We start from the raw sequence: 14,637 nt of genomic DNA, 5'->3' as shown, positions 1-14,637 counted from the left end.
GTGGCGCCTGAGATGGCTTTGTCCTTAGAGCAATTCAGCCCAGTCTCATATTTTAAGAACAGCGGGAACGTAATATCAGCTGAAAGGAGTTTTCTGTGTGCTATTTAACTAAATGGCTCTGCAGCTGGGGAGAGCCATAGGCAGACGTGTTATGATTCAAAGGCTCCCAATTACAATGATCCTCTTTTATTGTATAAAAACAGCAACACAGCCATTCTCCACCCTCCCTCCGCCTGCTTCCTCCACCCCCTTCCCCCATTGGCTGGCGAGGCCACTCTGCATCCTGAAAGGAGCACCCAGATTCTCCTCCGGCTCCAACTTTGCAGCTTTCAGCCCACGGGGATTCCTTCTCTCCAGATCCGAGGAGGAGAGGGCGGAGGGCGCAATGCCCCTGGAGAATGTTCTCTTGGAGACACTGATAGAGGCTTTACAATGGCCTCTTTTTGAGGAGGGGTGGTTTGGGGGAGCTGTAGATAACAGAGGCGGATTTGTAATTCTCTCCTGTTTTGACTAAACTCTCATACGCACACGTGCACACACACTCATGCAGGAAGGCATGCACCCCTATGCCCCTTATCAGAAAAGCAATCAGACTATCCCAAAGCACGATCTAAAACCGTCCCTTCTCCTCACACCTCTTCCAGGCTGATGTGGGCCAGGCTTCCAGAAGACTTACGTACAATAACAGAAAGCTCTGGAATCAGACTGAGCTGAGTTTGAATTCTGTCTTTGCTACCTTCTTTCTGTGACCTTGAATAAGTACTTAACCCCTCTGAGCTTTCGTTTCCTATCTTTTTTTATTTTTTATTATTTTGAGACAGAGTCTTGCTCTCTCACTCAGGCTGGAGTGCAGTGACGTGATCATGGCTTACTGCAGCCTTGACCTCCCGGGCTCAAGCGATCCTCCTGCCTTAGCCTCCCAAGTAGCTGGGACTACAGGTGTGTGTCACCACGCCCAGTTCATTTTTTAGTTTTTTAAATTTTTTGTAGAGATGGGGTTTCACCATGTTGTCCAGGCTGGCCTTGAATTCCTGAGCTCAAGCGATCCACCTGCCTCGGCCTCCCAAAGTGCTGGGATTACAGGCGTGAGCCATCAAGCTAGCCCATTTTTCCTACCTTTTAAGTGGAATTACACTGCCACTCTCAATTTACTCCTCAGGGTCAGATTAAATGACATTGTGAAGGGAAAGTGTTTAGCAGAGTGCCTAGCACATAGTAGGTGCTTACTTTTTCTGTGGCTATTGCTGTTCTTAACATGGTGAACACCATGTGCTTGTGCTGTGTCTGGGTATGTGGGGAGCTTTGTGCATCTGGTTGTGTAGGGAGCTTTGTATTTGCTCAGTTTCACCAGCCAGAGTGAACCAGGCTGTGGGGGATGAGATGGCTGTGGGGGCATAAATGTCAGGCCTGCTGAGGAGTGTTTTTCTTGAGTGTTTCTGCAACACTGGTTTAAACGGTCACCTCTGCACAGCATATGCAGGCATGCATGAGTGCCTGCCACTTCCTCCTTAACTTAGACTTGTGGTCCTTCCTCAGTTTTCTGCAGATGTTTTTGAGCCCAGCAGCTGCAGTTGCAGGCATCCAACCAGGACAAGGAGGGGCTGTAGCCCAGGAACTCTCATTCATAACCCTCTTCCTCTCTGCCTCAATAGCAGGCTCCTTCTCTGTCTCTCACAAGTGGCCCCTGGGCCCCCAACAGGGAAGATTTCCTCCCAAAGAAAGAGCTAACTCAATTTGGCTACTCCCCGAAGCCCCAGAGATCCATGAATCTATTCCCTGACCCTGAACTTGACAGGAAATGGTCCCCAGGATTTTGCTGATTTCTCTCTGAAAGATAAACTCAGCGTGGGCTTCCCGCTATTCCATCCCAAACTAGACATGTGCACCCCTAAAATATATCACAAATCTCTTACACCACAGTGAATGCCTGGCTCACATTCCTTCATATTGACCCCTCATGGATCAATAGCACAAGAATTTCATTCACTGCAGATTCTGTTATGTGTTAAATACCATTGCAGTGAAACAATGTGTAACAAGATTAATCTCCACTAAGTGTTTCTAATGTTAGGGAGTAAGGGGGAGAGAAAGAGGAAGAAAGGGTGTGAACTGTGACTTTTAACAGGTAAATATTGTCTACCAGGGGGGAAAGAGAGGTATCAGCAAGAAGACAGGTTCTGGCCCTGGTGTCTCTATTCCATTTTAAAGTTTGGGTGGAAATTGATATACTGTTGTCAGGACTGTTTTTCTGCATGGGGTCTGTTTTACACACACACACACACACACACACACCACTGCCAATCAACCCCTCTTAACTGCATGATTACAAGTGTAAGAACAGGAAGCAGACTGTGGGTGGATGTTCTTAAAATCACAACCTGCTCAATGTAGGGTGGGGGCATTAGAGAAGGGTGGGGGAGGGGAATCACGAGTTTTTTCAGTTCAAAATGAAATAATCTTGTCAATACAGAAAATAATGTCTACCTTATTGTCTACCAAAGGGGCATGTGCACAGCCAAGCATCCTTCCTGAGATGTGCTGTCTGGATGTGGCTATGACACAGCACATTACGGTACCTCATGTGCTGGTACCGTACGTGTGGTACCTGATGTGTGGTACGGACTTGCCACAAAATGAGTGCATGTGTGTACTGGGGGTGGGGGGAGGCAGAAGGGGAATGGCAATGAGATGGGACAGTCAGGGTCCTGGGATTGATGATGAAATCCACACATGCTAATTACTTGGCACCTCAAATTTACAATAAAGTCACTTTCTTGAGGTGGTTGCAGTGATGACGGTGATTTGTTGAGCACAGTTCACATGTGAGGTGTGTGCTAAGCCTTTTTACAACTTTCTTAAGTTTCCTAACAACTCATACAGCAGCTACTAAAGTGATCTCCATTTCAGAGATAAGAAAATTGAGGTAAGTAACAGCTCAAAGTCATAAAGGTAATACCCTGAGCAAAGAGAATCAGAGAGGCTGGCCCTTGCTGGAGGAATCTAGCCTGGGGAATCTGGTGCTGGGAAGGCCTCTGACATGCTCTGATATCATCTCCTTGATTTAAAGCAATGGTGAAGGTCATGGCCAAAGGTATCCTGCTGATGAGTGGTGGAGCTGCAGCTAGGGCCCAGGAGACCCAAAGGTCAGGAAAAAGGCAAGTGTAGTGTTTGGAGAGTAAATGGCACCCCCTTCCAGCTTTTCCAGTCCCACTAACTGAATTATCCAGAAAGGAGAGCTGATTGCCTCCCTGTAACAGCTGACTCACATCAGGTTAAGTTTGGATTCTTATTGACAGGACCTAAAAGCAAATCATCCCTCACTTCTTTATTGTACATGGTCTTCTCTTTGCCCTGAGGCAAAACTGTTCCCTGGCCTGAAACTTTGCAGAACTCGTTTTATTGCAAATAAGAACTAAGCTCGTTTGTCTGCACAAGGTACTCTGCTGTCAGTCTTAGTCTTCCCTTCCCCAAACACGTGACCTTCAGAAACCTGCCATAGCTCCCTAGTACCTAGAGATTAAAAGCCAGCCTCCTCCATGTGCACCCCCAAGCCTGGCATCATCTCTTTGCACAGCCTTCCCTGCATCCCCCTCTCCACCTCCCCAGGGTACCTGTCCACTGCTCCCAGGGCCCTTCTTTCTCAGGCGGCACATGCCCTCCCTGCCAACTCAACAACCATTCCTCCTTTCACCCCGTCTGCCTTACAAGTTGAACCCCAATTTGCTCATGACAGCAATGGGTCCAACTAAAAATACTTGACTGCTCTTCCCTGGCAGTAGTCACCATGTGGCACAGCTCTGGTCAATGAGCTAAAGACAGAAGTCCCTGAGAGGGGTGCCCCTTCCCAGATATAGCAGTGAAGCTGTACTGGGTAAAAGCTCTTTGAGACTCATTCATCCTTTTTTCTCTTTCTTGGAATGCAAACCTGAGGCCTAGAGACGTAGCAGCCACTTTCCTACCATGAGATGATAAACCTAAGGCCAAAGGCCTCCACTCTAAGCATGGCAGTGTAGAAAGAAGTAGTCTGGGTTCCCAATGGTACAGCTGAGGCATCATCTCCCTTTACCCCTCACCCCGTTGTTGTCTGACACAAAAAAGTCCCTATCTGGTTAAGTCACTGGTAGTCAAGAGTCTGCTGCTAGCAGCCGAATGCAGTGATATTGGCTACACCTCTGGACATTGTTCCTCTTCATTCATGGGGCAGTTCAGCTGCTCCCACCTCTAGGAGATCCTCTGTGATCCCCTCAGAGCAGAAGAATCATGCCTTTCCTTGTGCTTCCACAGTGGTTAGTTTTCTCAATCATAGCACTTATCTAAGCCTGCTTGATTTGGTTTAATGAGTGCTTCCCCGCAGTCGGCTCAAACTCCTAGAGGGCAGGGGGTGTGTATCCCACCAGCATCTCCATAATGTCTGGAGCATGCAGTGCTTTGCGTTTCTGCCAGGGGGGCTCTGTCTCCCCAGCATTTCCATACATCTGGTTATGCGCTCTGCATTGCAACAGCAGAGTGTGTGTGTTCTGGGGGCTGCCACTCCGCTTACTAGCTGTTTGGACTTGGGCAAGTTAGCTAACTTACCTGGGCTTGTGCCTCCTCATCTAGAAAAAGGAGAGAATGAGAGTACTTACATCAGAGTTGTCATGAAGACAAAATAGTCTAGTCATAAGCACTTGGGATAGTGCCTGGCATACAAAAATGCTTAATGGCTATGGGTTCTTATTAGTATAATGAACATTATAGTTGCTGAATGAATAAATAAATCAACACACAGTTGCTAAATAAATGAATAAAGGAATAAAATCCAGGTAAATTCTGAAGTTCGGACCTCAGGACAGTGGCTACTGTTCCCTCTTTTCTGCTGGACCTGACCCTTTACTTTTTTATTCTAACTGTGACGTCGTGTATCTGAATGCTGCTACAATGGACTGGTTAAGGCTATGAAGTTAGGCCTGGATTTGCTTTTTGCTGTGTCGCTCAGGCAAGTTTCTTCACCTCTTGGAGCCTCTGTTTCCTCAACCATAAACGGAGGATAATAGTAGTACTTAGCTCACAGGATTGTGGTGAGAATTAAATGATAAAGCACGTAAAATATACAGCATTGTGCCTCACACACCATAACAGTGTTAGAAACTGTTATCAAACATTGCCATGATTATTTTTGATAAGTGTACAGCATCCCACCAAATCACATGGTCCTGATGTGGATGAGAAACGCCGGGTGGGGCCACCTTTCAGCATGTCAAGATACACTGCACTTACATCACAGGAATACCCTTTCTTCAGTGCCAACAAACAGTGGTGTTTTCCCCCTTCAAATGGACATTAGTTGAGATAGCTGATGTGCCCCAGAATCTTGGTTTCTTGCATTTTCCCCTGAAGCACAATCTTCAGGTGCATCCTTTAGCTGACAGCAAACCTGGCTAGAAGGAAAGGTACAAGTGCGCAAGAGAACAATCGCGGAGCAGAGCATTTAAACAGCGATGATATTTCCACACATCACCAGTCCAATTATTGTCAGTGACACATTTCAGCCTTACTTGTAGATTTTTTCCCTTCTGGCCTTAAAAGAAGCTGTGTATACAGCTTTACATAACTTTCCCTTTAAACTTAAACCTTTATGGTAGTCCCATTCAACCACTTGACAGCTCCATTAATCTATTTTTACTATTAAACATGCCATTTTACAAGATATTTATTCCACTTGGTCGTCATCCAAACGCTTTTTGACATTACTGCCCTGGGAGTGAACTGCTTAAACTCGCTGCCCTCATAAACAGAAAATCACCTTTTGACTCAAATCTTGAAGAGCTCTCAGAACCTCACCCCCTTCACTTCTACAGGCATTAATTTCTGCCATATATAAAGGAGAGAGTGAGTAAGTGTGTGTGTGTGTGGTTTTAAGAGGGTAATTGTGGGAGGTCTGGGCAATTCAAGAAGTGCTGGGGGAAGGAATCCTCTCCTCTAACTCCATTCTGCTCATCGGGGCCTGCCTGAGACCTGGAGATCTGGTAACTTAACAGAGAGAAAGTGATCAGAGAGCAGGTTGGGGAAGAACTCCAGGGCCTAAAAGGCAGTGTCCCAGGGGGCCAAGCTGAGCAACCACTCTTTAAAAGGGGAGGGGTCGAGGGAAAGTCCTTATTCATCGACTTCTCTCCTTCTCCACGCCCCAGACAAACAAAAGGCCACCGCGAAACAGTTGAAGGTAGAGACCTACTGGCTTTGAAGACTATCAATCAGGTGGAAACCTGAACAAATCACAATTTGGCTTCCTCATCAAGTTTTCTCCCCAGCCTGACAAACCCTCCTCCGCCGCCGCCTCCACCTCCTCCTCCGCCTCCCAGGCTCAGCACAGCTACGAGGCCAAAGGGACCGTCCTGTGATGCCTGCTGGTTTCCAACTTTCCGCTCATCTTCGTCTCCGCAGCCTCCTGCAAAGCGGCTGGGAAAAGGGCAAGTTTGCAAAGCCGAGGATACAAGTCCTGGGGAAGCCACAAAGAAGCTGCAACACCAACAAAGATTAACCTCTTGTGGGGCAGACGAAAAGCGCCAGCTGCCGTTCAGGGGGGCGAACGTGGGCTCGGGCTGGCAGAGGCTCCGGCCAGCTGGCAGCGGACAGCAGGGCCGGGGGTCCCGCGGCCGCCCTCGGCCCCCCGCCCCGCGCGGACTCCCCCTGCACCTGAGCGGGGGTGAGGACAGCGCCGCGCTCCGGCCCTGCCCCCGCCAGGTAGCTCGGCTGCCGCCCGCGCTGCGCGCCCGCTGCCTGCAGCCGCCGGGAGCGACGAGAGCAGAGGCAGCCTCGGCCCACGGCGTCATGCTTCCTGCCACCACATTACGGCGAATCGTCACCGGGAGAGGGGAGCGAGGGGAGAGGGGGAGGGAGGGGAGCAGACACACGCAGCCCCCCGCCTGCCAAAACGCGCGGAGACGGGGCCACGTCCCGGTGGAGTCCCCGCGGGACCTGCCCCGTTTGCACAAAGCGCCGCAGTTTGGCCAAGAAGGGAGGGAGACGGCCACGAAATAAATAAATAAAAACAGTCGGGTCTACGTAACGCCCTGTCGAAAGCGGACGCCATATTTTTTTGTGGCTTATGTCGACATAGGGAAACGTAGACATGTTTTTCCTCCTCCTCCTCCTCCTCCTCGCTCTGGCTCCCATTTATCCAAACTTGTAATCAAAACTCTTAAAAAAAAAATCTTCTTCCCTCTCTGTATCCGCTCATTTCCTCCCACCCGCAAAAAGAGCCTGCACACCCCCCCCCTTCCGTACCCCCCTTCCAATCACAAACCCGGCCAAGTCCCATTAACAACACATTTTCGGGAGCCGCGGCGGCGACGGCGGCGGTGGGAAAGTTGGGCTGGAGTGGCCGGCGCCCGGCGTGCGGGGTTTGGGGCCGGCGGCGCCGGCTGGGGGGCTCCGCGCCGAGGCGAAGTTTCTTACCTGCGCTGGGGCTGTGAACGCGGGGACCCGGGCTGGGAACGCGGAGACGCGGCACGGGCGTTCCAAAATGGAACTCTGCTGGCTCCCCCCACCCACTCCCCACTCCCCACCGGGCGCCCGGCTCGGGCTCCGTGGGAAAGAGGGGGAAAGCCAGCCTGCCAGCCAGACAGACAGACAGAAAAAGCCCCCGTACGGAGAACGATGGCCAAAATTTTTAAAAGAAAAAAAAAAAGGAAAAAAAAAGGGAAAAAAAATGCCTCGATCAGTGGGGAATCTACGCCAAAACCCACATGATCTGTAACGTCAGCATGCGTATTTGCATACGATACCACCACCCGAGCTGCCACCCGGGCTCGGGTTCCGCAGAAAGTTACAAAGTGAAATTCAGCCCCCTCCGGAGACACCGGCGAAATGTCATTTTTCAGGCAGGAGCTGGGGGGGAGGCTAGCCCTAAAGGCGCTGGTTACTGGCCAAGGTAGGGGGGCAGTAAATTAACTTAAAAGTCTGAGCCCAGTAACGGACTCGGTGGAATTTCTGCGAGAAGAGGAGGGGGAGGCGCGAGCGAGATCATTGAATATTAAGCACGACCCCGCGCGGCGGCCGCGGCCAAACCGTCTCCGTGCAATACCCATTTTCTTTATGAAAAGTTCAAGGTGTCACTGATGAGCTCAACAAACTGTTGATCTTGACCACGTGGAGTGGCGGACCGTGGGACCGAAGGGCGCGCTTGCAGGCCCGGCTCTGGCGGTACCCGGGCCCCGGGACCCTTTGCGTGGGACTGTGCGCGGGTGGGGCCACCACGCACCCTGGGCGCTGCCTGCGCCTTGGCCCGGCTTCAGGCTCAGGAAAATAATAATAACGATTTTAAAACTATGTTGAGCGAGACACATTTTACTCCCGGAATGATAATGAGAAGGCTCGGCGTAGGGAGGGGAAGAAGGAGCCCCCCACTTATATAACGACTTGAAGTTATATCACTTTTGCTTGGGGAGATTCCGGGATTTCCGCCCGCGCCAGGTCTGAGGCTGGTTAAAGATCTTCAAACTTTTTTCCCTTAAGAGCCAATAAACAAACAGACGCCCCAGGGGCCGACTTAAACTCTGGTAGAGCCCGAGTTCGCTGGAATTCTCAGATTCGAAGAAATGCACACGCCTGCGGTGCTCGCAGAGAAGTCCCTCGGAAGCTAGGCGGGTCGCTTTCGCAACTGGGACTCCAATGTTCCCAGTGGGAGCGGAGCTCTCACCGCGGCAGCCCCCAGGTTCCCCTAGGCGCCTTAGAGCAAAGGTGGCGGGGGATCGCGCTGCCCTTCGCCCGCCGGCTCGGAACCATGAACTTGTATTCCGGGCGCCGCGCTCCTGCCACAGTGCTCGGCTAAAGAGCTCTAAGGAATTCGGGATCTGGGTACACTTCGGGATCTCAGGCGGCAACCTGTCTGCGCCGCGCATTCCTGCCCAGATGTACCTTGTTTCCCCCTGGGCTGGCCTGTGGACTCTTGGGCAGCTCCCGGGCGGGGACGAGGGGATGCGGTCTGGGGGCTAGTTTAGAAGCTTCGAGCGCAGCGAGAAAACAAAGGGAGCCTGGGGCTGGGAGGCTCTGCGGAGTCCCCGCCCGCCCTGCAGATTAGCAGGCGCGTCGCGTCGGGGCTTCCCGGGCAGCTCTGCTCTGGGGAATTAGAACGAACTCTAGCGGCCGTTTGCAACTCGGCTGTGGGCGCGAGGGCATCAACAGGTGGCCGTGTGCAGCGGAGAGGCCAATGGCGAGGACCCGGACTGGGGTGAGGACGGCTGGCCTTGGGGCTGACTGGGTGGCGGATGCGCTGGGTGACCTTTTGGCTTTTTCATTTCCGAGGCCGGGGAGAAGGAAGTAGCTAAAAGGTTTTTGTAAGTTCTGCCCTAGGGCTCTAATTTCTGACATACCCCTTGACTCCCCAGAAATCCTTTGCAACAAAAATTAAAACAGCTCATATGCAAAACTTTCTTAATGGCCTGCACCTGTTTGTTCGGTTATTGCTGATGTAGGGTCTGTTTGTTTGCATTTTAACCGCCCATAAAACAAGATTCTATCCTGGGAAGGAGTCTCTTGCGTGATGCTCGCGGACCTGAAAGGCGACCTGGAGGGGCTCTTACAGGATTCTGTTAACTTCTTGATGACTGTAATCCAGCTTGGGCCACATCTTTCTCAGCCTCATTTGGTACCGGCTAAGAACCTAATTTACTTGCCATCAACATCAGAATTTACCGCTGCCTGATCTCCTCCCAACCTCTGCCTCACCCAGGGTGAACCAAAATTGTAAAAAGAAAAGAAAAAAATATGGGACCCTCCCCCCATTCCCCCGCCTTGTCCCGTCCCGCCGGCCACACCAACTTCAACATTTTTACATCGCTTACCTTATTATGCCCCTTGCAGGCTATTCCACGCCCTGCCCCCCCCCCCTTTAAAATAAGTCTAGTTCTGTCTGTTTCCATGGAAATTACCCAAACCTTAACGAAGCTATTCCTATTTTGAGGCTGCACCTCCTCTGGATGATCAATCACTTAGGAGGGTTTTCTATAAGCCAAGTTTCCCTTGCTGCCACCTCACTGCCACCTGCTTCTGGCTGGGTGACAGATTGTATGTAGGGTGGAATGGGCCAGGTGGGAGGGAAGCCAGGTAACCCTCTAAACAGTCTGCTGGGTTCTCATATCTTCAGAGCACTTGGATCTCATGGACACTAGCAAGGATGAGGGGCTTCTGATGTGTTGCAGTGTTTTAAAATTGTTCAGAGTTTAGCATGGACTGAACTTGCACCATATAAAGAGAAAACAATGAGGAATAAGACAAAGGTGGCTTTTGCTTTATGTGGTATGATCCCTGTTTGCTTGAAGTATACTCATGGAGTAGACAGACCGTTATCTGACAGTATTTAGGAGCTTCAGAATCAATAATGTTGGACAAGTAAATGTTCAGCCAGGAAGTAACGTATGCCACTTTCACTTACAACTCATTGGTCAGAACTAAACACAAAGTTAACTGTAAAGATCCATGGAAGTATTGTGTGCCTGGAAATGGAGAGAATGGGAAAGATTTGCACTAATATGATAGCACTAAGGACTATCATAAATAATAATAGCAGTTCACAATTATTGATCATTTACCATGTGCTGAGCCTTTTATATGTATCATCTCATTGAATCATCACAAAAATCTATATTTTGTCTTTATTTTACCGATATAGAAACTGAGACTTAAAGAGCTTAAGTACTGTACCTTGCTCGACATCACACAGATGCTAAGTAATGGAGTTGGAATTTAAGCTTAATTTTACCTGCTTCCCAGAGAATAGACTTTTAAAACACTGTCCTCAACCACCTTTGGACTTAATTGGTCCCCTGTTGTTGGGCATTGGGTAGTTTCAATTTTATTCCAATGAACAACCTTGTGTCAGATCTTTTGAATCATCTGCGATTACTTCCTTAGGATAAATTCCTAGGTACATATTTGCTTAGTTGAAATATACACACATTTCAAGAATAAAAACCTTTTGCAAAAAGTGAAAGCTTTAGGAGGTGTGGTAGTCTTCTAAGATGGCTTTTTTCAATCCTTTCCTTCCTTTTTTGAAAAATACATCACCATTAAGAGGTGGAGTTTACTTCCCCTCCCTTGGAATCTGGACTGGTCCTGTGATTGCTTTGGATGCAATGAAAGTGATATTCTGAGACATCTAAATCCAAGTCTTAAGAGACTGGCAGTTTCTGTTTCCTTCCTTTTAGGGTCCTGCTGCCATGCTGTGAGAAGCCGAAGTTTCATGGAGAGGCCACATGGAGTGAAAACAAAGGTGATAGGGACAATAGCTCCACCTGAGATCCTGATTAATACACAGACTTTAGCCATCTTGGATGCTCCAGCCTAATCGATCTCCCACTTGACTCTAGTCTCACCTGACATTATGTAGAGGAAAACCATCCAGCTCCACCTAGTCAACCCACAGAATAATGAGATGATCATAAGACTGTAGTTGTTTAACATTATTAACTTTTGGGGTGGTTTATTACACAGTGATAGATAAATAAAATGGGAGTTATTATCCGTGTCTTTATTTGCACATATATCTGAATATTTCAGATCTACTTCCCCCTGAACTCTGCAGGGTATAGGTAGCATTGTGAAATATTGGAGGCCAGGACAAGGGGTAGAGAGGCCTCTTGGTCCATGATGCCTGAGCTGGCCCACTCTCCAAATCAAAGCTTTTCTTGATTTTAGTTGTTGCTCATGAAGGATCCCGCGCCACAGGTCCCAGATCCTAAGCAAATAAGAACTCATTTATCAAGCATAGATACTCAGTAGGTACTGGAGTTAAGTTCCTGTTTGGTGTTGCCAAAAACAGAGGTTTCCATTATTTAAGGATATACACTGTGATAGGGAGTGCAAGTGCCCACCATGTACATGGCTGCCTGGGAGGTGCTTCTTATACTTTATGTAATTTAATCTTTTAAACAACCTTCTGAATAGTATATTGTCTCCTTAATTTGTGGGAGAAAACAAGTTTATAGAAGCTTATGAATTATCCATGGGCCATACAGCTGATAAGTTAGAAGCAGGTCTTGAGCCCACATTTGATTGATTACAAATCCTGCCTGCTTCCCACTATACTTGTGACTTGCAAATTAACTCATGTGCAAACCCCCTTCACCAATTTTGTCCCAGTAGCAAAGGAACTACCTATAGTATTTTTAATTTAACATTTTATTTGGCCAGGGTCATGGCTCACACCTGCAATCCCAGCACTTTGGGAGGCTGAGGCAGGTGGATCATTTGAGGTCAGGAGTTTGAGACCAGCCTGGCCAACATGGTGAAACCCCATCTCTACTAAAAACAAAAAAAAATTAGCCAGGTGTGGTGGTGAGTGCCTGTAATCCCAGCTACTCAGGAGGCTGAGGCAGGAGAATCGCTTGAACCGGGGAGGCAGAGGTTACAGTGAGCCAAGATTGTACCACTTCCAGCCTGGTGACAAAGCTAGACTCTGTCTCAAAAAAAAAAAAAAAAAAAAAAAAAAAGAAAACATTTTATTTACATTGATTCACATTTTTAAAACTTAAATGCACTTATTTCATACTAATACTAAAGAAGCCTTTTGTCACAATAGAAACAAGAAAATCCAATATTGAATTTTCAAATGAACCAATGAAAGGTAACAGTGAAAATAACCATGGGAAAAAAAAAACAGCACTATTGAGCTAGCTAGATACTCTTATTTGCAGAAGGTAGAGATGGAGGGGAAAGGTGTTAGAAGGTTATTAGAGACAGGGTAGCACCAAACTGAGAATTTTTTCTTGAGCTAATTAAAAGGATGGGAAGAGAATTGAAAGTTGTAACTTTCTCTGAGTCAGAGCTATTTTGTGCTGTACCTGGACATCATTTAAAACCATCTCATGGCCACACATGCTACTTAAGCGGTACATGTTTCACACTGCTGACACCTGGCTGCCTGTCACAGTTCTTCATGTATGAATCTATTACAATGTTGCTCCCTCTGAGAGCATAAGAATCAGTGCCACGGGTTGAAGGGCTGAATGTTTGTGCTCCCTTGCCCCCCAATTCATATGTTGAAATCCTAATCCTCAATGTGATCATATTAGGAAGTGGGCGGGGCCTTTGGGAGGTGATTAGATCATGAAGGTGGGGCCTTCCTGATAGTGATACTGGAGTGCTGGGTAGAGAAATGTGGGTCCCTGGCCAGGGCTCCACCCCTACAGACCTAGGTGAGGACAGGCTTTTGTGAGGACTAGGCTAGGTGAGGACTCCTGCTTTTGTGTCTAAACGTTGCATTTTCCAAGACCACCCTGGCCCGCCACACCCTCATCCTGGTCCTATAAAAACCCCAGACTCCAGCAGGTAGACACAGGCAGCCAGATGAGAGGGGCAGTTGGAGAAGATTTGGGCCGCTAAGCAGCCTGACTCCAGGGGAAAACCATCTCCCTTCTGGCTCCCCCATCTGCTGAGAGCTACTTACACTCAATAAAACCTTGCACTCATTCTCCAAGCCCACGTGTGATCAGATTCTTCTGGTACACCAAGGCAAGAAACCCTGGAATAAAGAAATCCCTCTGTCCTTGTGATAAGGAAGGGGGTCTAACTGAGCTGGTTAACACAAGCCGCCTATAGACAGCTAAACTAAAAGAGCACCCTGTAACACACACCCACTGGGGCTTCAGGAGCTACAAACATTCACCCCTAGGCACTGCCGTGGGATCGAAGCCTCATGGCCTGCCTGTCTGTACACTCCTGTAGAAGTTTGAGTAGCGGGGCACTGAAGAAGCGAACCACACCCTCATTGCATGCCCTGCGAGGGGGACAAGGGAACTTTTCCCATTTTAACGGGATTGGTGCCCTTATAAAGGGATACACCGGAGAGCTCACTTTCTCTCTCCCTGCTTCCCTCTAAGTGAGGACACAGCAAGAAGATGGCCAGGAAGAGAGCTGTCACCCAAACCTGATCATGCTGGCACCCTGATCTTAGACTTGCAAGCCTCCAAAACTGTGAGAAATAAATTTCTCTTGTTTAAGCCACCCAGTCTCTGGTTATTTGTTCTATAGCAGCCTTACTTAAGACAGTTCAAGGAACTTGAAATTCTGTAAACACCAACTAACTGATTTCCCTGGCTCCAATTTCTATGTCTACTATCCATGCTGTCACCAAAACACATATCTTGCTTGGTCACCTCCTTGCTTACAATCTTTTATTGCTTTCTACTTCTTTGGGGTAGCAGAAGTGATCTTGCATAAACTTGTCCAAATCAGCATTTCCAGCCTAGTCTTCTGCCTCTTCTAATCTTGTCTTCTACAATTTAGCATCACTGGGTTCCTTGTCACTCCCTACATTTTCCATGATCTTTTCCATCTTTGTAAATGGTGCACCCTGTACCTGGAATGGCTTCCCTCTTCCTCGGTCCTTCAAGACACAGATCAAATGTCACTTTCTTTAGGAAGCCTTCCTGTACTCTCCCAAAGAGTTAATCCTGCCACCTCTGAAGTCCTACAGAACCTTGCACTTAACCTTGAGTTAGCAATTATTGCCCAATAATCTAGTTACTTCTCTGTATTTGTTGTATCCATTTTACTATAAGTCCCTTGTGGATGAGTATTTCGCCATAGTCATCTCTGTGTCCTTGTTTCTTGCCTCACATGGGATATATAGCAGGCAGAATTCAAAGATGGCCCCCAAGA

General features: G+C 48.3%; 1 protein-coding gene and 1 long non-coding RNA gene across 19 annotated transcripts in view, besides 10 other annotated features; one reads left to right on the top strand and one right to left on the bottom strand.

Moving 5' to 3' along the window:
• The window catches only part of ZHX2 (zinc fingers and homeoboxes 2), a 194,132-nt gene extending 185,130 nt beyond the window's left edge, over positions 1-9,002 (bottom strand). For 14 of the 18 annotated variants that reach the window (NR_182048.1, NM_001412808.1, XM_047421590.1 and 11 more), the window contains exon 1: positions 7,435-7,726. The gene's annotated coding sequence lies outside the window, so the exon portion shown is untranslated. Of the gene's footprint in view, positions 1-6,211; positions 6,496-7,434; positions 7,727-8,895 lie in introns of those variants that run through there. The other 4 variants (NM_001412806.1, NM_001412805.1, NM_001412799.1 and 1 more) reach the window with 3 other exon arrangements.
• Positions 1,194-1,951: an enhancer, noted in NCBI's record as "OCT4-NANOG-H3K27ac hESC enhancer chr8:123799669-123800426 (GRCh37/hg19 assembly coordinates)". NCBI's record gives its function as "activates a minimal SCP1, AML or CMV promoter by ChIP-STARR-seq in primed H9 embryonic stem cells {active_cell/tissue: H9 hESC(primed)}" and the evidence as "EXISTENCE:reporter gene assay evidence [ECO:0000049][PMID:30033119]".
• Positions 1,418-1,737: an enhancer, noted in NCBI's record as "active region_27855". NCBI's record gives its function as "activates an Ori minimal core promoter by ATAC-STARR-seq in GM12878 lymphoblastoid cells {active_cell/tissue: GM12878}" and the evidence as "EXISTENCE:reporter gene assay evidence [ECO:0000049][PMID:35858748]".
• Positions 2,406-2,505: an enhancer, noted in NCBI's record as "active region_27854". NCBI's record gives its function as "activates an Ori minimal core promoter by ATAC-STARR-seq in GM12878 lymphoblastoid cells {active_cell/tissue: GM12878}" and the evidence as "EXISTENCE:reporter gene assay evidence [ECO:0000049][PMID:35858748]".
• Positions 5,735-5,814: a silencer, noted in NCBI's record as "silent region_19488". NCBI's record gives its function as "represses an Ori minimal core promoter by ATAC-STARR-seq in GM12878 lymphoblastoid cells {active_cell/tissue: GM12878}" and the evidence as "EXISTENCE:reporter gene assay evidence [ECO:0000049][PMID:35858748]".
• Positions 5,875-6,409: an enhancer, noted in NCBI's record as "NANOG hESC enhancer chr8:123795211-123795745 (GRCh37/hg19 assembly coordinates)". NCBI's record gives its function as "activates a minimal SCP1, AML or CMV promoter by ChIP-STARR-seq in naive H9 embryonic stem cells {active_cell/tissue: H9 hESC(naive)}" and the evidence as "EXISTENCE:reporter gene assay evidence [ECO:0000049][PMID:30033119]".
• Positions 6,595-6,724: a silencer, noted in NCBI's record as "silent region_19487". NCBI's record gives its function as "represses an Ori minimal core promoter by ATAC-STARR-seq in GM12878 lymphoblastoid cells {active_cell/tissue: GM12878}" and the evidence as "EXISTENCE:reporter gene assay evidence [ECO:0000049][PMID:35858748]".
• Positions 6,945-7,014: a silencer, noted in NCBI's record as "silent region_19486". NCBI's record gives its function as "represses an Ori minimal core promoter by ATAC-STARR-seq in GM12878 lymphoblastoid cells {active_cell/tissue: GM12878}" and the evidence as "EXISTENCE:reporter gene assay evidence [ECO:0000049][PMID:35858748]".
• Positions 7,065-7,114: an enhancer, noted in NCBI's record as "active region_27853". NCBI's record gives its function as "activates an Ori minimal core promoter by ATAC-STARR-seq in GM12878 lymphoblastoid cells {active_cell/tissue: GM12878}" and the evidence as "EXISTENCE:reporter gene assay evidence [ECO:0000049][PMID:35858748]".
• On the top strand, positions 7,777-11,497 carry ZHX2-AS1 (ZHX2 antisense RNA 2). The gene is made up of 2 exons (XR_007061082.1): positions 7,777-9,208; positions 11,184-11,497. It is a non-coding gene; the product is annotated as a ZHX2 antisense RNA 2 (long non-coding RNA).
• Positions 8,282-8,781: an enhancer, noted in NCBI's record as "H3K27ac hESC enhancer chr8:123792839-123793338 (GRCh37/hg19 assembly coordinates)". NCBI's record gives its function as "activates a minimal SCP1, AML or CMV promoter by ChIP-STARR-seq in naive H9 embryonic stem cells {active_cell/tissue: H9 hESC(naive)}" and the evidence as "EXISTENCE:reporter gene assay evidence [ECO:0000049][PMID:30033119]".
• Positions 8,782-9,283: an enhancer, noted in NCBI's record as "H3K27ac hESC enhancer chr8:123792337-123792838 (GRCh37/hg19 assembly coordinates)". NCBI's record gives its function as "activates a minimal SCP1, AML or CMV promoter by ChIP-STARR-seq in naive H9 embryonic stem cells {active_cell/tissue: H9 hESC(naive)}" and the evidence as "EXISTENCE:reporter gene assay evidence [ECO:0000049][PMID:30033119]".

This window comes from Homo sapiens, chromosome 8 (genome assembly GCF_000001405.40).
Source record: "Homo sapiens chromosome 8, GRCh38.p14 Primary Assembly".
Classification (NCBI taxonomy): Eukaryota; Metazoa; Chordata; class Mammalia; order Primates; family Hominidae; genus Homo; species Homo sapiens.
Note: the sequence above shows the minus strand (reverse complement) of the source record. Positions and strands in the feature narration are given on the sequence as shown.